General features: G+C 55.6%; 2 protein-coding genes, 2 non-coding genes and 1 pseudogene across 4 annotated transcripts in view; 2 read left to right on the top strand and 3 right to left on the bottom strand.

Moving 5' to 3' along the window:
* Positions 1-2,828, bottom strand: part of UBE2L3 (ubiquitin conjugating enzyme E2 L3) — a 74,588-nt gene extending 71,760 nt beyond the window's left edge. Inside the window, exon 1 of the mRNA NM_001256355.1 lies at positions 2,625-2,828. Coding sequence (NP_001243284.1) covers positions 2,625-2,825 — 201 coding nt within the window. The 5' untranslated portion in view covers positions 2,826-2,828. The remainder of the gene's footprint in view (positions 1-2,624) is intronic.
* RIMBP3C (RIMS binding protein 3C) lies at positions 814-6,609 on the top strand. The gene has a single exon (NM_001128633.2). It carries the CDS (start codon positions 1,299-1,301, stop codon positions 6,216-6,218), a length of 4,920 nt encoding a protein of 1,639 aa, NP_001122105.1. The 5' UTR covers positions 814-1,298; the 3' UTR covers positions 6,219-6,609.
* On the top strand, positions 6,631-6,868 carry RN7SKP221 (RN7SK pseudogene 221; annotated as a pseudogene).
* On the bottom strand, positions 7,068-7,150 carry LOC124900484 (small Cajal body-specific RNA 18). Its single transcript, XR_007068174.1, has one exon.
* Positions 7,151-7,235: 85 nt separating this feature from the next.
* LOC124905173 (small Cajal body-specific RNA 17) lies at positions 7,236-7,378 on the bottom strand. The gene has a single exon (XR_007068177.1).
* Positions 7,379-14,153: the final 6,775 nt, after the last annotated feature.

Below are 14,153 nucleotides of genomic sequence, written 5' to 3'. Positions count from 1 at the left end.
AGGTTGCAATGAGCCAAGATTGCGCCACTGCACTCCAGCCTGGCGACAGAGTGAGGCCCCATCTCAAAAAACAAAATCAATGTCTCGATGCAGACTGCCAGGTATCAGGTGTCCATCCATGTCTCCAAAAAGCCACTTGGCACCAGGAGCAGACAGGAAGGGCAAAGAGGAGCCAGACTGAAGCAGGGCTTCTTAGCTCCCAAGCCACACAGGTGGCCACCAGTCAGAGAGGCAGTGTGTGTGTGTGTGTGTGTGTGTGTGTGTGTGTGTGTGTGTGTGTGTATTTCTTCAGTTCAGTGTGTGTATGTATGTTTCTTCTGCAGCTCAGTGTATGTGTGTATTCCTTCAGCTCAGTATGTGTGTGTGTGTATGTTTCTTCTGCAGCTGTGTGTGTGTGTGTGTGTGTGTTTCTTCTGCAGCTCAGGATGCCTCCAACATTTCTGCTGAAGCCTCACCCTCACTCCTGGCCCATCCTGAGGCCTCTACCTAAGATGCCAATGAGTAGCCCAGACACTGGGGCTCCAGTGTTTGTCACCAGGTGGTACCTGGATGTGGGAGGTAGACAGGCCAGATGGCCAGTTTGGGCAGTGCCCCCATGCCTATCTGGCCCTGGGTCCCTATGCCACCTTGCTGGGGAGGGTCTTTTCGCTTACACCTCCTCTGAGCCGACTCTGCGCAGTAACACAAATGTGTATCAGGCACATCCTTTCCTCAAAAGGTGGATGACCAGTTGGGTGATCAGGGCTGTTAGGGGGCTGAAGGGTCCTGGGGAGTCCAGGTCTAGCCAAGTTGAGGCCTATCCTGCTGCATTTTCCAGCCACCTGACCCAAATACACCACCTGAACCCACGACCAGGTATGCCCACACCCCATGGGTGGCCTTAACACACACACCCTGCCCCTTTCTCCAAGTACAGGAGCAGCAGCCCAGACTTCCCTCGGGGCACCGCGGCCTGCTTGGGACTGCACAGTGCCTGGGAGGGTGCCTGGGGAGGGTCACAAGGGACTTGGTGCTAGAAGCAGGAAAAGTGTAGGGACCGGAAAAGCCCCCGTGCATCCTGGAAGGGACATGGGCCAGTTTGAGCAGGGGTGTGGGAGTCCAGCCCTGGCCTTGCCAGGTGGAGAGGCGCCTGGGCCAGACATCCGCGGCAGGAGGCGGGGGAACATGCCAAGAGGCGGAAGGGGCACGCGGAGACCCCCAGGGGGCGCCGGAAGGGGCGCGCCGGGCGGTCGGCGGCGGCCGTTGGCGAGCTGAGGCCTGCCAGGCGAAGTCTGGAGACCAGCCGGGCCGCGGCCGCAATGGCCAAGGACTCGCCCAGCCCCTTGGGCGCGTCGCCCAAGAAGCCGGGCTGCTCCAGCCCGGCGGCGGCAGTGCTGGAGAACCAGAGGCGGGAGCTGGAGAAGCTACGGGCGGAGCTGGAGGCGGAGCGGGCAGGCTGGCGGGCGGAACGGCGGCGCTTCGCTGCCCGGGAGCGCCAGCTGCGTGAGGAGGCCGAGCGGGAGCGGCGGCAGCTGGCTGACCGTCTGCGCTCCAAGTGGGAGGCACAGCGCAGCCGGGAGTTGCGGCAGCTGCAAGAGGAGATGCAGCGGGAACGCGAGGCCGAGATCCGGCAGCTGCTGCGCTGGAAGGAGGCCGAGCAGCGGCAGCTGCAGCAGCTGCTGCACCGGGAGCGCGATGGCGTGGTGCGCCAAGCCCGGGAGCTGCAGCGCCAGCTGGCCGAGGAGCTGGTGAACCGCGGCCACTGTAGCCGCCCGGGGGCGTCCGAGGTTTCCGCGGCGCAGTGCCGCTGTCGCCTGCAGGAAGTGTTGGCGCAGCTTCGCTGGCAGACTGACGGCGAGCAGGCGGCGCGCATCCGCTATCTGCAGGCGGCGCTGGAGGTGGAGCGCCAGCTCTTCCTCAAGTACATCCTGGCGCACTTCCGCGGGCACCCGGCTTTGTCGGGATCACCGGACCCCCAAGCTGTGCATTCCTTGGAAGAACCGCTGCCCCAGACCTCCAGCGGCTCTTGCCACGCCCCCAAACCCGCCTGCCAACTCGGATCTCTAGACAGCCTGAGTGCTGAAGTCGGTGTGCGCTCCCGCTCGCTAGGCCTGGTGTCCTCTGCGTGCTCCAGCTCCCCAGACGGCCTGCTCTCCACGCACGCCAGCTCCCTTGATTGCTTCGCACCTGCGTGTTCCCGCTCGCTTGACAGCACCCGGAGCCTCCCCAAGGCCTCCAAATCCGAGGAGCGGCCCTCCTCACCAGACACCTCCACCCCTGGCTCCCGGAGGCTCTCGCCGCCACCATCGCCACTCCCGCCGCCACCACCACCGTCAGCCCACAGGAAACTCAGCAACCCGCGGGGAGGAGAAGGCTCTGAGAGCCAGCCCTGCGAAGTCCTGACTCCCTCACCCCCGGGCCTGGGCCACCACGAGCTGATAAAGCTGAACTGGCTGCTGGCCAAGGCGTTGTGGGTGCTGGCGCGCCGCTGTTATACCCTGCAAGAGGAGAACAAGCAGCTGCGGCGTGCAGGCTGCCCCTACCAGGCAGACGAGAAGGTGAAGCGGCTCAAGGTAAAGCGCGCGGAGCTGACCGGGCTCGCGCGGCGCCTAGCTGACCGCGCCCGCGAGCTGCAGGAGACCAACCTCCGGGCCGTGAGCGCGCCTATACCCGGCGAGAGTTGCGCCGGCCTGGAGCTGTGCCAAGTCTTTGCCCGCCAGCGCGCTCGGGACCTGTCGGAGCAGGCGAGCGCGCCGCTGGCCAAGGACAAGCAGATCGAAGAGCTGCGGCAGGAGTGCCACCTCCTGCAGGCGCGTGTCGCCTCGGGTCCCTGCAGCGACCTGCATACTGGAAGGGGCGGCCCCTGCACCCAGTGGCTCAACGTCAGAGACTTAGACCGCCTGCAGCGCGAGTCCCAGCGGGAAGTGCTGCGCCTGCAGAGGCAGTTGATGCTTCAGCAGGGCAACGGTGGCGCTTGGCCCGAGGCGGGCGGCCAGAGCGCAACCTGCGAGGAGGTGCGACGGCAGATGCTGGCGCTGGAGCGCGAGCTGGACCAGCGGCGGCGCGAGTGCCAGGAGCTGGGCACGCAGGCGGCCCCGGCGCGGCGACGTGGCGAGGAGGCCGAGACACAGCTGCAGGCGGCGCTGCTCAAAAACGCCTGGCTGGCGGAGGAGAATGGGCGGCTGCAGGCCAAGACCGACTGGGTGCGGAAGGTGGAGGCTGAGAATAGCGAAGTGCGCGGCCACCTGGGCCGCGCGTGTCAAGAGCGCGATGCCTCCGGCTTGATCGCCGAACAGCTGCTGCAGCAGGCGGCGCGCGGGCAGGACAGGCAGCAGCAGCTGCAACGCGACCCGCAGAAGGCCCTGTGTGACCTCCATCCTTCCTGGAAGGAGATACAGGCGCTCCAGTGTCGGCCTGGTCACCCTCCTGAACAGCCCTGGGAGACCAGTCAAATGCCGGAGTCCCAAGTTAAAGGTAGCAGAAGGCCCAAGTTCCACGCACGGCCTGAAGACTACGCAGTGTCACAGCCCAACAGAGACATACAGGAGAAAAGGGAAGCCTCCCTCGAGGAGAGCCCAGTTGCCCTTGGGGAGTCAGCCAGTGTCCCCCAAGTTTCAGAGACAGTCCCTGCCAGCCAACCTCTGTCCAAGAAAACCAGCTCCCAGTCAAACTCCTCCTCTGAGGGGTCGATGTGGGCCACCGTGCCGTCCTCCCCTACTCTGGACAGGGACACAGCCAGTGAGGTGGATGACCTGGAGCCTGACAGCGTGTCCCTGGCCCTGGAAATGGGGGGCTCGGCGGCTCCTGCTGCCCCCAAGCTCAAGATCTTCATGGCTCAGTATAACTACAACCCATTTGAGGGGCCCAATGATCACCCTGAGGGTGAGCTGCCCCTCACAGCTGGGGACTACATATATATCTTCGGGGACATGGATGAGGATGGCTTCTATGAGGGGGAGCTTGACGATGGCCGGCGGGGGCTGGTGCCCTCCAACTTCGTGGAGCAGATTCCGGACAGCTACATCCCAGGCTGCCTGCCTGCCAAATCCCCTGATCTTGGCCCCAGTCAACTCCCAGCGGGGCAGGATGAAGCTCTGGAGGAAGACAGCTTATTATCTGGGAAAGCCCAGGGAATGGTGGACAGAGGGCTGTGCCAGATGGTCAGGGTGGGCTCCAAGACAGAAGTAGCAACAGAGATCCTGGATACCAAGACGGAAGCCTGCCAGCTGGGCTTGCTGCAGAGCATGGGGAAGCAGGGCCTCTCCAGACCCCTTCTGGGGACCAAAGGGGTGCTCCGTATGGCTCCCATGCAGCTACACCTGCAGAATGTCACAGCCACATCAGCCAACATCACCTGGGTCTACAGCAGCCACCGCCACCCCCATGTGGTATATCTTGATGACCGAGAGCATGCCCTGACCCCAGCGGGCGTGAGCTGCTACACCTTCCAGGGCCTGTGCCCCGGCACGCACTACCGGGTGCGGGTGGAGGTGCGGCTGCCATGGGACTTGCTGCAGGTGTATTGGGGAACTATGTCCTCCACCGTCACCTTCGACACACTCTTGGCAGGACCTCCCTACCCACCGCTGGATGTGCTGGTGGAGCGCCATGCCTCGCCAGGTGTCCTGGTGGTCAGCTGGCTCCCTGTGACCATTGACTCAGCTGGGTCCTCCAATGGAGTCCAGGTCACCGGTTATGCTGTGTATGCAGATGGGCTTAAGGTTTGTGAGGTCGCCGATGCCACTGCTGGGAGCACCGTATTGGAATTCTCCCAGCTACAGGTGCCCCTCACGTGGCAGAAGGTCTCAGTGAGAACCATGTCACTCTGTGGTGAGTCCCTGGATTCAGTGCCTGCTCAGATCCCCGAGGACTTCTTCATGTGTCACCGATGGCCAGAGACTCCACCCTTTAGCTACACTTGTGGCGACCCATCCACCTACAGAGTCACCTTCCCCGTCTGCCCCCAGAAGCTGTCACTGGCTCCTCCGAGTGCCAAGGCCAGCCCCCACAACCCTGGAAGCTGCGGGGAGCCCCAGGCCAAGTTCCTAGAAGCATTCTTTGAAGAACCCCCAAGGAGGCAATCCCCAGTGTCCAACCTGGGCTCAGAAGGAGAATGTCCGAGTTCAGGGGCTGGCAGCCAAGCCCAGGAGCTTGCAGAGGCCTGGGAGGGCTGTAGAAAGGACCTGCTCTTTCAGAAGAGTCCCCAGAACCACAGGCCACCTTCAGTCAGTGACCAGCCTGGGGAGAAGGAAAATTGCTACCAGCACATGGGCACCAGCAAAAGCCCTGCTCCAGGATTCATCCATCTACGCACCGAGTGTGGGCCCAGGAAAGAACCGTGTCAGGAAAAGGCTGCCCTTGAGAGGGTACTTCGGCAAAAGCAAGATGCCCAAGGGTTCACACCTCCCCAGCTGGGCGCCAGCCAACAGTATGCATCTGACTTCCATAACGTTTTGAAGGAGGAGCAGGAGGCACTGTGCTTGGATCTGCGGGGCACAGAGAGGCGAGAGGAGAGGAGGGAGCCTGAGCCCCACAGCAGGCAAGGACAAGCTCTGGGGGTGAAGAGAGGGTGCCAGCTCCATGAGCCCAGCTCGGCACTGTGTCCAGCTCCATCCGCCAAAGTCATCAAGATGCCCAGGGGTGGCCCCCAACAGCTGGGGACGGGGGCCAACACTCCAGCCAGGGTCTTTGTGGCCCTCTCTGATTACAACCCCCTGGTGATGTCTGCCAACCTCAAGGCTGCAGAGGAGGAGCTGGTCTTCCAGAAAAGGCAGTTGCTAAGAGTGTGGGGCTCTCAGGACACCCATGATTTCTACCTCAGCGAGTGCAACAGGCAAGTGGGCAATATCCCCGGGCGCCTAGTGGCTGAGATGGAGGTGGGGACAGAGCAGACTGATAGGAGGTGGCGTTCTCCGGCCCAAGGGCACCTGCCTTCTGTGGCCCACCTCGAGGACTTTCAGGGGCTCATCATCCCCCAGGGTTCCTCCCTGGTGCTCCAGGGGAACTCCAAGAGACTCCCACTGTGGACTCCAAAGATCATGATAGCAGCTCTGGACTATGATCCTGGGGATGGGCAAATGGGGGGCCAGGGGAAGGGCAGGCTGGCGCTGAGGGCAGGAGACGTGGTCATGGTTTACGGGCCCATGGATGACCAAGGATTCTATTATGGAGAGTTGGGCGGCCACAGGGGCCTGGTTCCTGCCCACCTGCTGGATCACATGTCCCTCCATGGACACTGAGCAAGCATCCTTGCCCAGGTAGTGGCCTCTGGCTGCTCACACCCTGCCAGAGGAGAAGCAAGCGTTCAGACCCTCACACCAGCACCCCTCCTCACCACCATAAGTAGCATGTGCTCCAAGTGCCACTGTGTTAAACTGATGGTAGTCCTTAAGTGTCCCCTAGGCTCTGAAAGTAGCAGGACTTAAGCCTGAGTTATTTGCAAAAGCAAACACAACAAGCCAACCCCTGAGAGTCTGAGAAGCCATTTCAAAGTTGCTGATAACTATGGCAGGTATACGGAGAAGCGCCTTTTTCTGTGGCCAATGTGTGTTTTCTCTGGGAGGTTAAGGTTATCTGTCCATTGCCTTGTACGAAAGTCTCAAGAAAAGTCTACATCTTAAAAAAGAAAAAGCAATCTGAGTGTTATTTTTGGGATGTGAGGGTGATCTGGCTGCGACATGTGTCACCCCATTGATCATCAGGGTTGATTCGGCTGATCTGGCTGACTAGGCGGGTATCCCCTTCCTCCCGCACCACTCCATGTGCGTCCCTCCAGAAGCTGTGCGCTCAATGGAAGAGGATGACCATCCCCGATAGAGGACGATCGGTCTTCAGTCAAGAGTATAAGAGTAGCTGCGCTCCCCTGCTAGAACCTCCAAACGAGCTCTCAGAATGTTATTTTTCTGTCTTATGTCCAACCCCTCATTAAAATGTTCATAGAAAAAACATATTTTAGAAGTTGAAGCACAACCAAGGAAACATGAGCCTGGCTTTCCTCCCTCTCACTTCTGCGCACTGGGTCCGCAAGGGCTACAGAAATGTTTTCCTGGCTGAGGAAGGGAGGGTGCACCCTTCTGCTTTTTTTTTCCTGGCTGCAGTCTATTCCCAGAACACATTCCATCACATGGTTCCCAGAACTCAGATTGTGCGGTGGCCACGTCATCATTGGCTGGGGCTCACAGTCACAGCAGCAGAGGCCTCCCTAAACCTCCCTCTCCTCTAGCCCCACCCGCTGTCCCCTGCTCCTCATGCCCCCATGCTGTGTCCCCTGGCCTCACTTCCGTTGCCATGTTTTCATAATCCTCTCAGGCTCTGGGCAGCAGCGCTGCCCACAGTAGGACCAGATCATGTAAGGAAAATACTGCAGGCTCATCTTGGGGCTGCACTGGGGACCTGAGAACACCTTATCCTACTGTACCTGCGGCACCTCATCTGACACCAGCTTCTCTGCTTTGCCCAAGGTCCCTAGGCCCTGAATGCTTACTTTTTAAGGTCAGCCTGGCTCAGGATATGCTAGTTTGGCTGCAGAGGGTCCTACTAAGAGCCAGGACTGAGGAGCAAGGCCCAAAAAACTCCTCTGGGCCACATCTTCCCCGAGGGCATCCCCGCAGGGAGGCCGTGTGCTGCTGAGCCCTTTGCTAGGAGTGGGTAGTCAGTGTCTCCCACATGACGATCTTGCTTCATTCAGATAGCTTTCGTAGCTCACTGCTTTTCTGAGTCACTTCCTGTGAGGGATCACCTTGGGATGGCATTTCTTTTCCTTTTTTTTTTTTCTTTGGAGACAGAGTCTCGCACTGTCACCCAGGCTGGAGTGCAATGGCACAATCTCGGCTCACCACAACCTCCGTCTCCCGGGTTCACACAATTATCCTGCCTTAGCCTCCCGAGTAGCTGGGATTACAGGTGCACACCACTACACCTGGCTAATTTTTTGTATTTTTAGTAGAGACAGTGTTTCACTATGTTGGCCAGACTAGTCTCAAACTCCTGACCTCGTGATCCGCCCGCCTCAGCCTCCCAAAGTGCTGGGATTACAGGCGTGAGCCACTGCGTCCGGCCTTCTTTTCCGTTTTTTTTTTTTTTTTTTTTTTTGAGATGGAGTCTTGCTCTGTTGCCCAGGCTGGAGTGCAGTGGTGCAATCTCAGTTCACTGCAAGCTCTGCCTCCCGGGTTCACGCCATTCTCCTGCCTCAGCCTCCTGAGTAGCTGGGACTACAGGCGCCCGCCACCACGCCTGGCTAATTTTTTGTATTTTTACTAGAGACGGGGTTTCACTGTGTTAGCTAGGATGGTCTCAATCTCCTGACCTCATGATCTGCCCACCTCAGCCTCCCAAAGTGCTGGGATTACAAGCATGAGCCACCACGCCCGGACCTTTCCTTTTTTTGAGACAGAGTCTTGGTCTGTTGCCCAGGCTGGAGGGCAGTGGCACAATCACAGCTCACTGTAGTCTTGAGCTTCAGGGCTCAAATGATTCTCTCACCTCAGCCTCCCAAGTAGCTGGGACTACAGATGTGCACCACCACACCTGGCTAATTTGGTGTGTGTGTAGAAGCAGGGGTCTCACTGTGTTGCCCAGGCTGGTCTCAAACTCCTGGGCTCAAGCAATCTGCCTGCCTCAACCTCCCAAAGTGCTGGGATTACAGGCCTGAGCCACCACACCTGATGCCTGGCTAATTTTTAAATTTTTTGGTAGAGATGGGGTCCCACTATGTTGCCCAGGCTGGTCTGGAACTCCTGCGCTCAAGTGATTCTCCTGCCTTGGCCTCCCGAAGTGCTGGGATTACAGGCCTGAGCCACTGCACACAGAGGGCATTTCTTTATTTGCCCCATTTTGCAGAAGAGCTTCCTGAGGCTCAGAGAGGCCCCTCATCTAAGGTCACATCATGGCTCAAAGTCACCTCCTCCATAGACTCCCCAGGCTGCCCCTCTGGGAGGGCGGGAATGAGGGGTGGTCTTTATCCTTCTCTCCCTCTCTTTGATACCCTTTTGTTTCCCCACGTCCAACAACACTGTCAGAGGAAAGACACTTCCAGAATACCCAGGTAAAAAAAAAAAAGAGACAATAAGGAAAGGACACTGCCTTCTCCGGTGTCATCAGAAATGATTGAAAGAGGCCGGGCGCGGTGGCTCACGCCTGTAATCCCAGCACTTTGGGAGGCCAAGGTGGGCAGATCACGAGGTCAGGAGATCGAGACCATCCTGGCTAACACGGTGAAACCCCGTCTCTACTAAAAATACAAAAAAATTAGCTGGGCGTGGTGGCGGGCGCCTGTAGTCCCAGCTACTCAGGAGGCTGAGGCAGGAGAATGGCATGAACCCGGGAGGTGGAGCTTGCAGTGAGCCGAGACTGCACCACTGCACTCCAGCCTGGGTGACAGAGCGAGACTCCGTCTCAAAAAAAAATTAAAAAATAAATAAATAAATAGGCCGGGTGCCATGGCTCACACCTGTAATCCCAGCACTTTGGGAGGCTGAGGCAGGCGGATCACAAGGTCAGGAGTTCAAGACCAGCCTGACCAATACAGTGAAACACTGTCTCTACTAAAAATACAAAAAAATTAGCTGGACGTGGTGACATGCACCTGTAGCCCCAGCTACTTGGGAGGCTAAGCAGAAGAATCACTTGAACCCGGGAGGCAGAGGTTGCAGTGAGCCAAGATAGCGCCACTGCACCCCAGCCTGGGCGACAGAGAAAGACTCCATCTAAAAAATAAATAAATAAATCACATTAAAAATAAACTTAATTTTTTTTAAAATTTAAGTTTAAAAAAGTAGGCCAGGTGCGGTGGCTCACGCCTGTAATCCCAGAACTTTGGGAGGCCGAGGTTGGTGGATCACGAGGTCAGGAGTTCAAGACCAGCCTGACCAACATGGTGAAACCCCATCCCTACTAAAAATACAAAAATTAGCTGGGTGTGGTTGTGGGTGCCTGTAATCCCAGCTACTCGGAAGGCTGAAACAGAGAATTGCTTGAACCCTGGAGGTAGAGGTTGCAGTGAGCCAAGAATGCGCCACTGCACTCCAGGCTGGTGACAGAGCGAGACTCCGTCTCAAAAAAAATAAAAATAAAAAATCACTGGGCATGGTGGCCCGCGCCTATAGTCCCAGCTACTCCGGAGGCTGAGGCAGGAGAAATGCTTGAACCCAGGAGGTGGAGCTTGCAGTGAGCCGAGATCGTGCCACTGCACTCCAGCCTGGGCGACAGAGCGAGACTCCATCTCAAAAAAAGAAAAGGAAGGAAGGAAGGAAGGAAGGAAAGAAGGAAGGAAGGAAGATTAAATGTCAATGGCTCATACTTGTAATCTCAGCACTTTGGGAGGCGAGGCAAGTGGATCGCTTGAGCACAGGAATTCAAGACCAGCCTGGGCAACATGTTGAAACCCCGTATCTACTAAAAATACAAAAATTGGCCTGATATGGTGGTTCACACCTATGGTCCCAACTACTCGAGAAGGTGAGGTGGGAGAATCGCTTGAGCCTGGGAAGCAGTGGTTTCAGTGAGCCAAGATTGAGCTACTGCACTCCAGCCTGGGTGACAGAGTGAGACCCTGTCTCAAAAGAAAAATAAAATAAAATAAATGACAATGTAAAGGCAAATTTTGTCTATAACAACATCATAATAGGACATTGAATTATTACAGTGCAGTTGTTATAATTAAGTTTACAATAGAATATTCATGGCTGAAACCCAGACAAACTAAAATCACCAACTGCTTACAAACCAACTGCTTACTAGTGAAAACCCAAATAGGTAAGGCTTTTTTTTAGCAGTGAGTCTCTGCTCAGTGAGGACCTGGGCACCCTCGTTTTTTTGAGTCTTGGTATTTCTTTCCATCTGAAAGGATGGAGCGGATGTGTGGATCCCCAACGTTTTCAGTTCTTCCACCTGGTCCTCATTCTGTCATGGCGTGATCATGGCTCACTGCAGCCTCAACCTCCAGGGCTCAAACCATCCTTCCCGCTCAGCCTCCTGAGTATCTGGAGGCATGCGCCACCACACCCAGCTAATTAATGTGTGTGTGTGTGTGTGTGTGTGTGTGTGTGTGTGTGTGTGTGTGTGTGTGTGTGTAGAGATGAGGAATTCTCGCTATGTTGCCTAGCTTGGCTCCAACTCCTGGCCTGAAGCCATCCTCCTGCCTCTGCCTCCCATGGAATAGTTGATTTTTGTTGTTGTTGTTGTTTTGAGATGGAGTCTCACTCTGTCACTCAGGCTGTGGTGCAGTGGTTCGATCTTGGCTCACTGCAGCCTCCTGGGTTCAAGCGATTCTCCTGCCTCAGCCTCCTGAGTAGCTGGGCCTGCAGGTGCATGCCACCATGCCCAGCTAATTTTTTTTTTCTTTTTTTTTGAGACAGAGTCTCACTCTGTCACCCAAGCTGGAGTACAGTAGTGTGATCTCGGCTCATTGCAACCTCCGCCTCCTGGTGCAAGTGATTCTCATGTCTCAGCCTCCCAAGTAGCTGGGATTACAGGCATGCACCACCATACCCAGCTAATTTTTTGTATTTTAGAAGAGACGGTGTTTCGCTATGTTGGCCAGACTGGTCTCGAACTCCTGACCTCAGATGATCTACCCGCCTTGCTCCAAAACTGCTGGGATTTCAGGTAGGAGCCACTGCACCCGGCCTATGGAATAGTTTTCAATGCCTTGTCTAGCTAGGGATCATTGAACATGTTGTATGCGGGGTAGACTGCAGCTGCAGGATCTGTACCAGGGTGTTGGTGAAGACGCAATGGGGTTGCCCCAGCGTCCTTGAGAAAGACTACCACCTTGTGGCCGGGCGCGGTGGCTCATGCCTGTAATCCCAGCACTTTGGGAGGCTGAAGCAGGTGGATCACGAGGTCAGGAGTTCGAGACCAGCCTGGCCAAGATGGTAAAACCCCGTCTCTTCCAAAAATATTTTAAAAATTATCTGGGTGTGGTGGCTCGCGCCTGTAATCCCAGCTACTCAGGAGGCTGAGGCAGAGAATTGCTTGAACCCGGGAGGCAGAGGTTGCAATGAGTCGAGATCATGCCACTGCACTCCAGCCTAGGAGACAGAGTGAGACTCTGTCTCAGAAAAAAAAAAAAAAGCAAAAACCTACCACCTTGCACTTCGTTCAACAGAGTGTCCAGTTGCTCCACAGAGCCTGCACTCCACAGTCTGCCGCCACCCGTGCCACACTCACAGCAAAGCAGAGTTCCCACTGCTCAGCCCAGGGACCTGCTCAATCCTGCTCGCTCACTGGAGCCCTTGACGGACTGGGACCTCGGCTGGCAGGTCTTTGGCTTCCTTCCCTTAGCATAATGTCCTTGAGCTTCATCCATGTTGCAGCATGTGTCAGAATTTCCTTCCTTTCATGAATAATTGTTTAAGGCCAGGGTGGTGGCACAAGCCTGTAGTTCCAGCACTTTGGAAGGCCAAGGTGGATGGATCGCTTGAGCCAAGGAGTTGGAGACCAGCATGGGTAACATGGCAAAACCTCATCTCTATTATTATTATTTTTATTTTTATTTTATTTTATTTTATTATTATTTTTTGAGGTGGAGTTTCGCTCTGTCGCCCAGGCTGGAGTGCAATGGCACGATCTTGGCTCACTGCAAGCTCCGCCTACCGGGTTCACGCCATTGTCCTGCCTCAGCCTCCCAAGTAGCTGGGACTACAGGCGCCCACCAGCACACCCGGCTAATTTTTTGTATTTTTAGTAGAGACAGGGTTTCACCATGTTAGCCAGTATGGTCTCGATCTCCTGACCTTGTGATCTGCCCGCCTCGGCCTCCCAAAGTGCTGGGATTACAGGTGTGAGCCACCGTGCCCGGCCTATTATTATTATTTTGAGACAGAGTCTTGCTCTGTCACCCAGGCTGGAGTGCAGTAGTATCATCTTGGCTCACTGCAACCTCCGCCTCCCAGGTTCAAGTGATTCTCCTGCCTCAGCCTCCCAAGTAGCCAGGATTATTGGCCGCCCGCCGCAATGCCTGGCTAATTTTTTTGTATTTTTAGTACAGACAGGGTTTCACCATGTTGGCCAGGATGCTCTCTAACTCCTGAACTCAGGTGATCTGCCTGCCTTGGCCTCCCAAAGTGTTGGGATTACAGGCGTGAGCCACTGCACCTGGCCTTCATCTATTTTATTTATTTTATTTTATTTTATTTTTTATTTTATTTTATTTTATTTTATTTTATTTTATTTTATTTATTTTATTTTATTTTATTTTTTGAGACAGGGTCTTGCTCTGTCTCCCAGGCTGGAGTGCAGTGGCGCTATCTTGGCTCACTGCAGTCTCCGCCTCCCGGGTTCAAGCGATTCTCTTGCTTCAGCCTCTCGAGTAGCTGGAACTAGAGGCATGCGTCACCATGCCCAGCTCAGGTTTGTATTTTTAGTAGAGGCAGGGTTTCACCATGTTGCCCAGACTGGTCTCGAACTCCTCACCTCAAGTGATCCACCCACCTTGGCCTCCCAAAGTGCTGAGATTACAGGTGTGAGCCACCACACCCGGCCTCATCTCTATTATTTTAAAAAACATATTTTTTGGCCGGGTGCAGCGGCTCACACCTATAGTTCCAGCACTTTGGGAGGCCGAGGCGGGTGGATCACAAGGTTAGGAGTTCCAGACCAGCTTGGCCAATACGGTGAAACCCTGTCTCTACTAAAAATACAAAAATTAGCTGGGCGTGGTGGCGCGTGCCTGTAGTCCCAGCTACTTGGGAGGCTGAGGCAGAAGAATCACTTGAACCCAGGAGGCGGAGGTTGCAGTGAGCTGACATCATGCCACTGCACTCCAGCCTGGGCGACAGAGTGAGACTCTGTCTCAAAAAAAATCCCATATTTTTTAATTGTTTAAAATTATTATTAATATTTATTTATTTTATTTATTTTTTTTTTTGATGGAGTCTCGCACTGTCACCCGGGCTGGAGTGCAATGGCGTAATCTCGGCTCACTGCAACCTCCGCCTCATGGGTTCAAGTGATTCTCCTGCCTCAGCCTCCCAAGTAGCTGGGATTACAGGTGCCCGCCACCACGCCTGGCTAATTTTTTTCTATTTTTAGTAGCGACGAGGTCTCACTATGTTGGCCAGGCTGGTCTTGAACTCCTGACATCATGATCCGCCCACCTCGGCCTCTCAAAGTGCTGGGATTACAGGCATGAGCCACTGCACCTGGCCTATTATTTTTTTCTTGTTTTTTTATTT

The sequence above is a fragment of the Homo sapiens genome, chromosome 22 (assembly GCF_000001405.40).
Source record: "Homo sapiens chromosome 22, GRCh38.p14 Primary Assembly".
NCBI classification, from domain to species: domain Eukaryota; kingdom Metazoa; phylum Chordata; class Mammalia; order Primates; family Hominidae; genus Homo; species Homo sapiens.
This window is presented reverse-complemented; position numbering and strand designations above follow the sequence as displayed.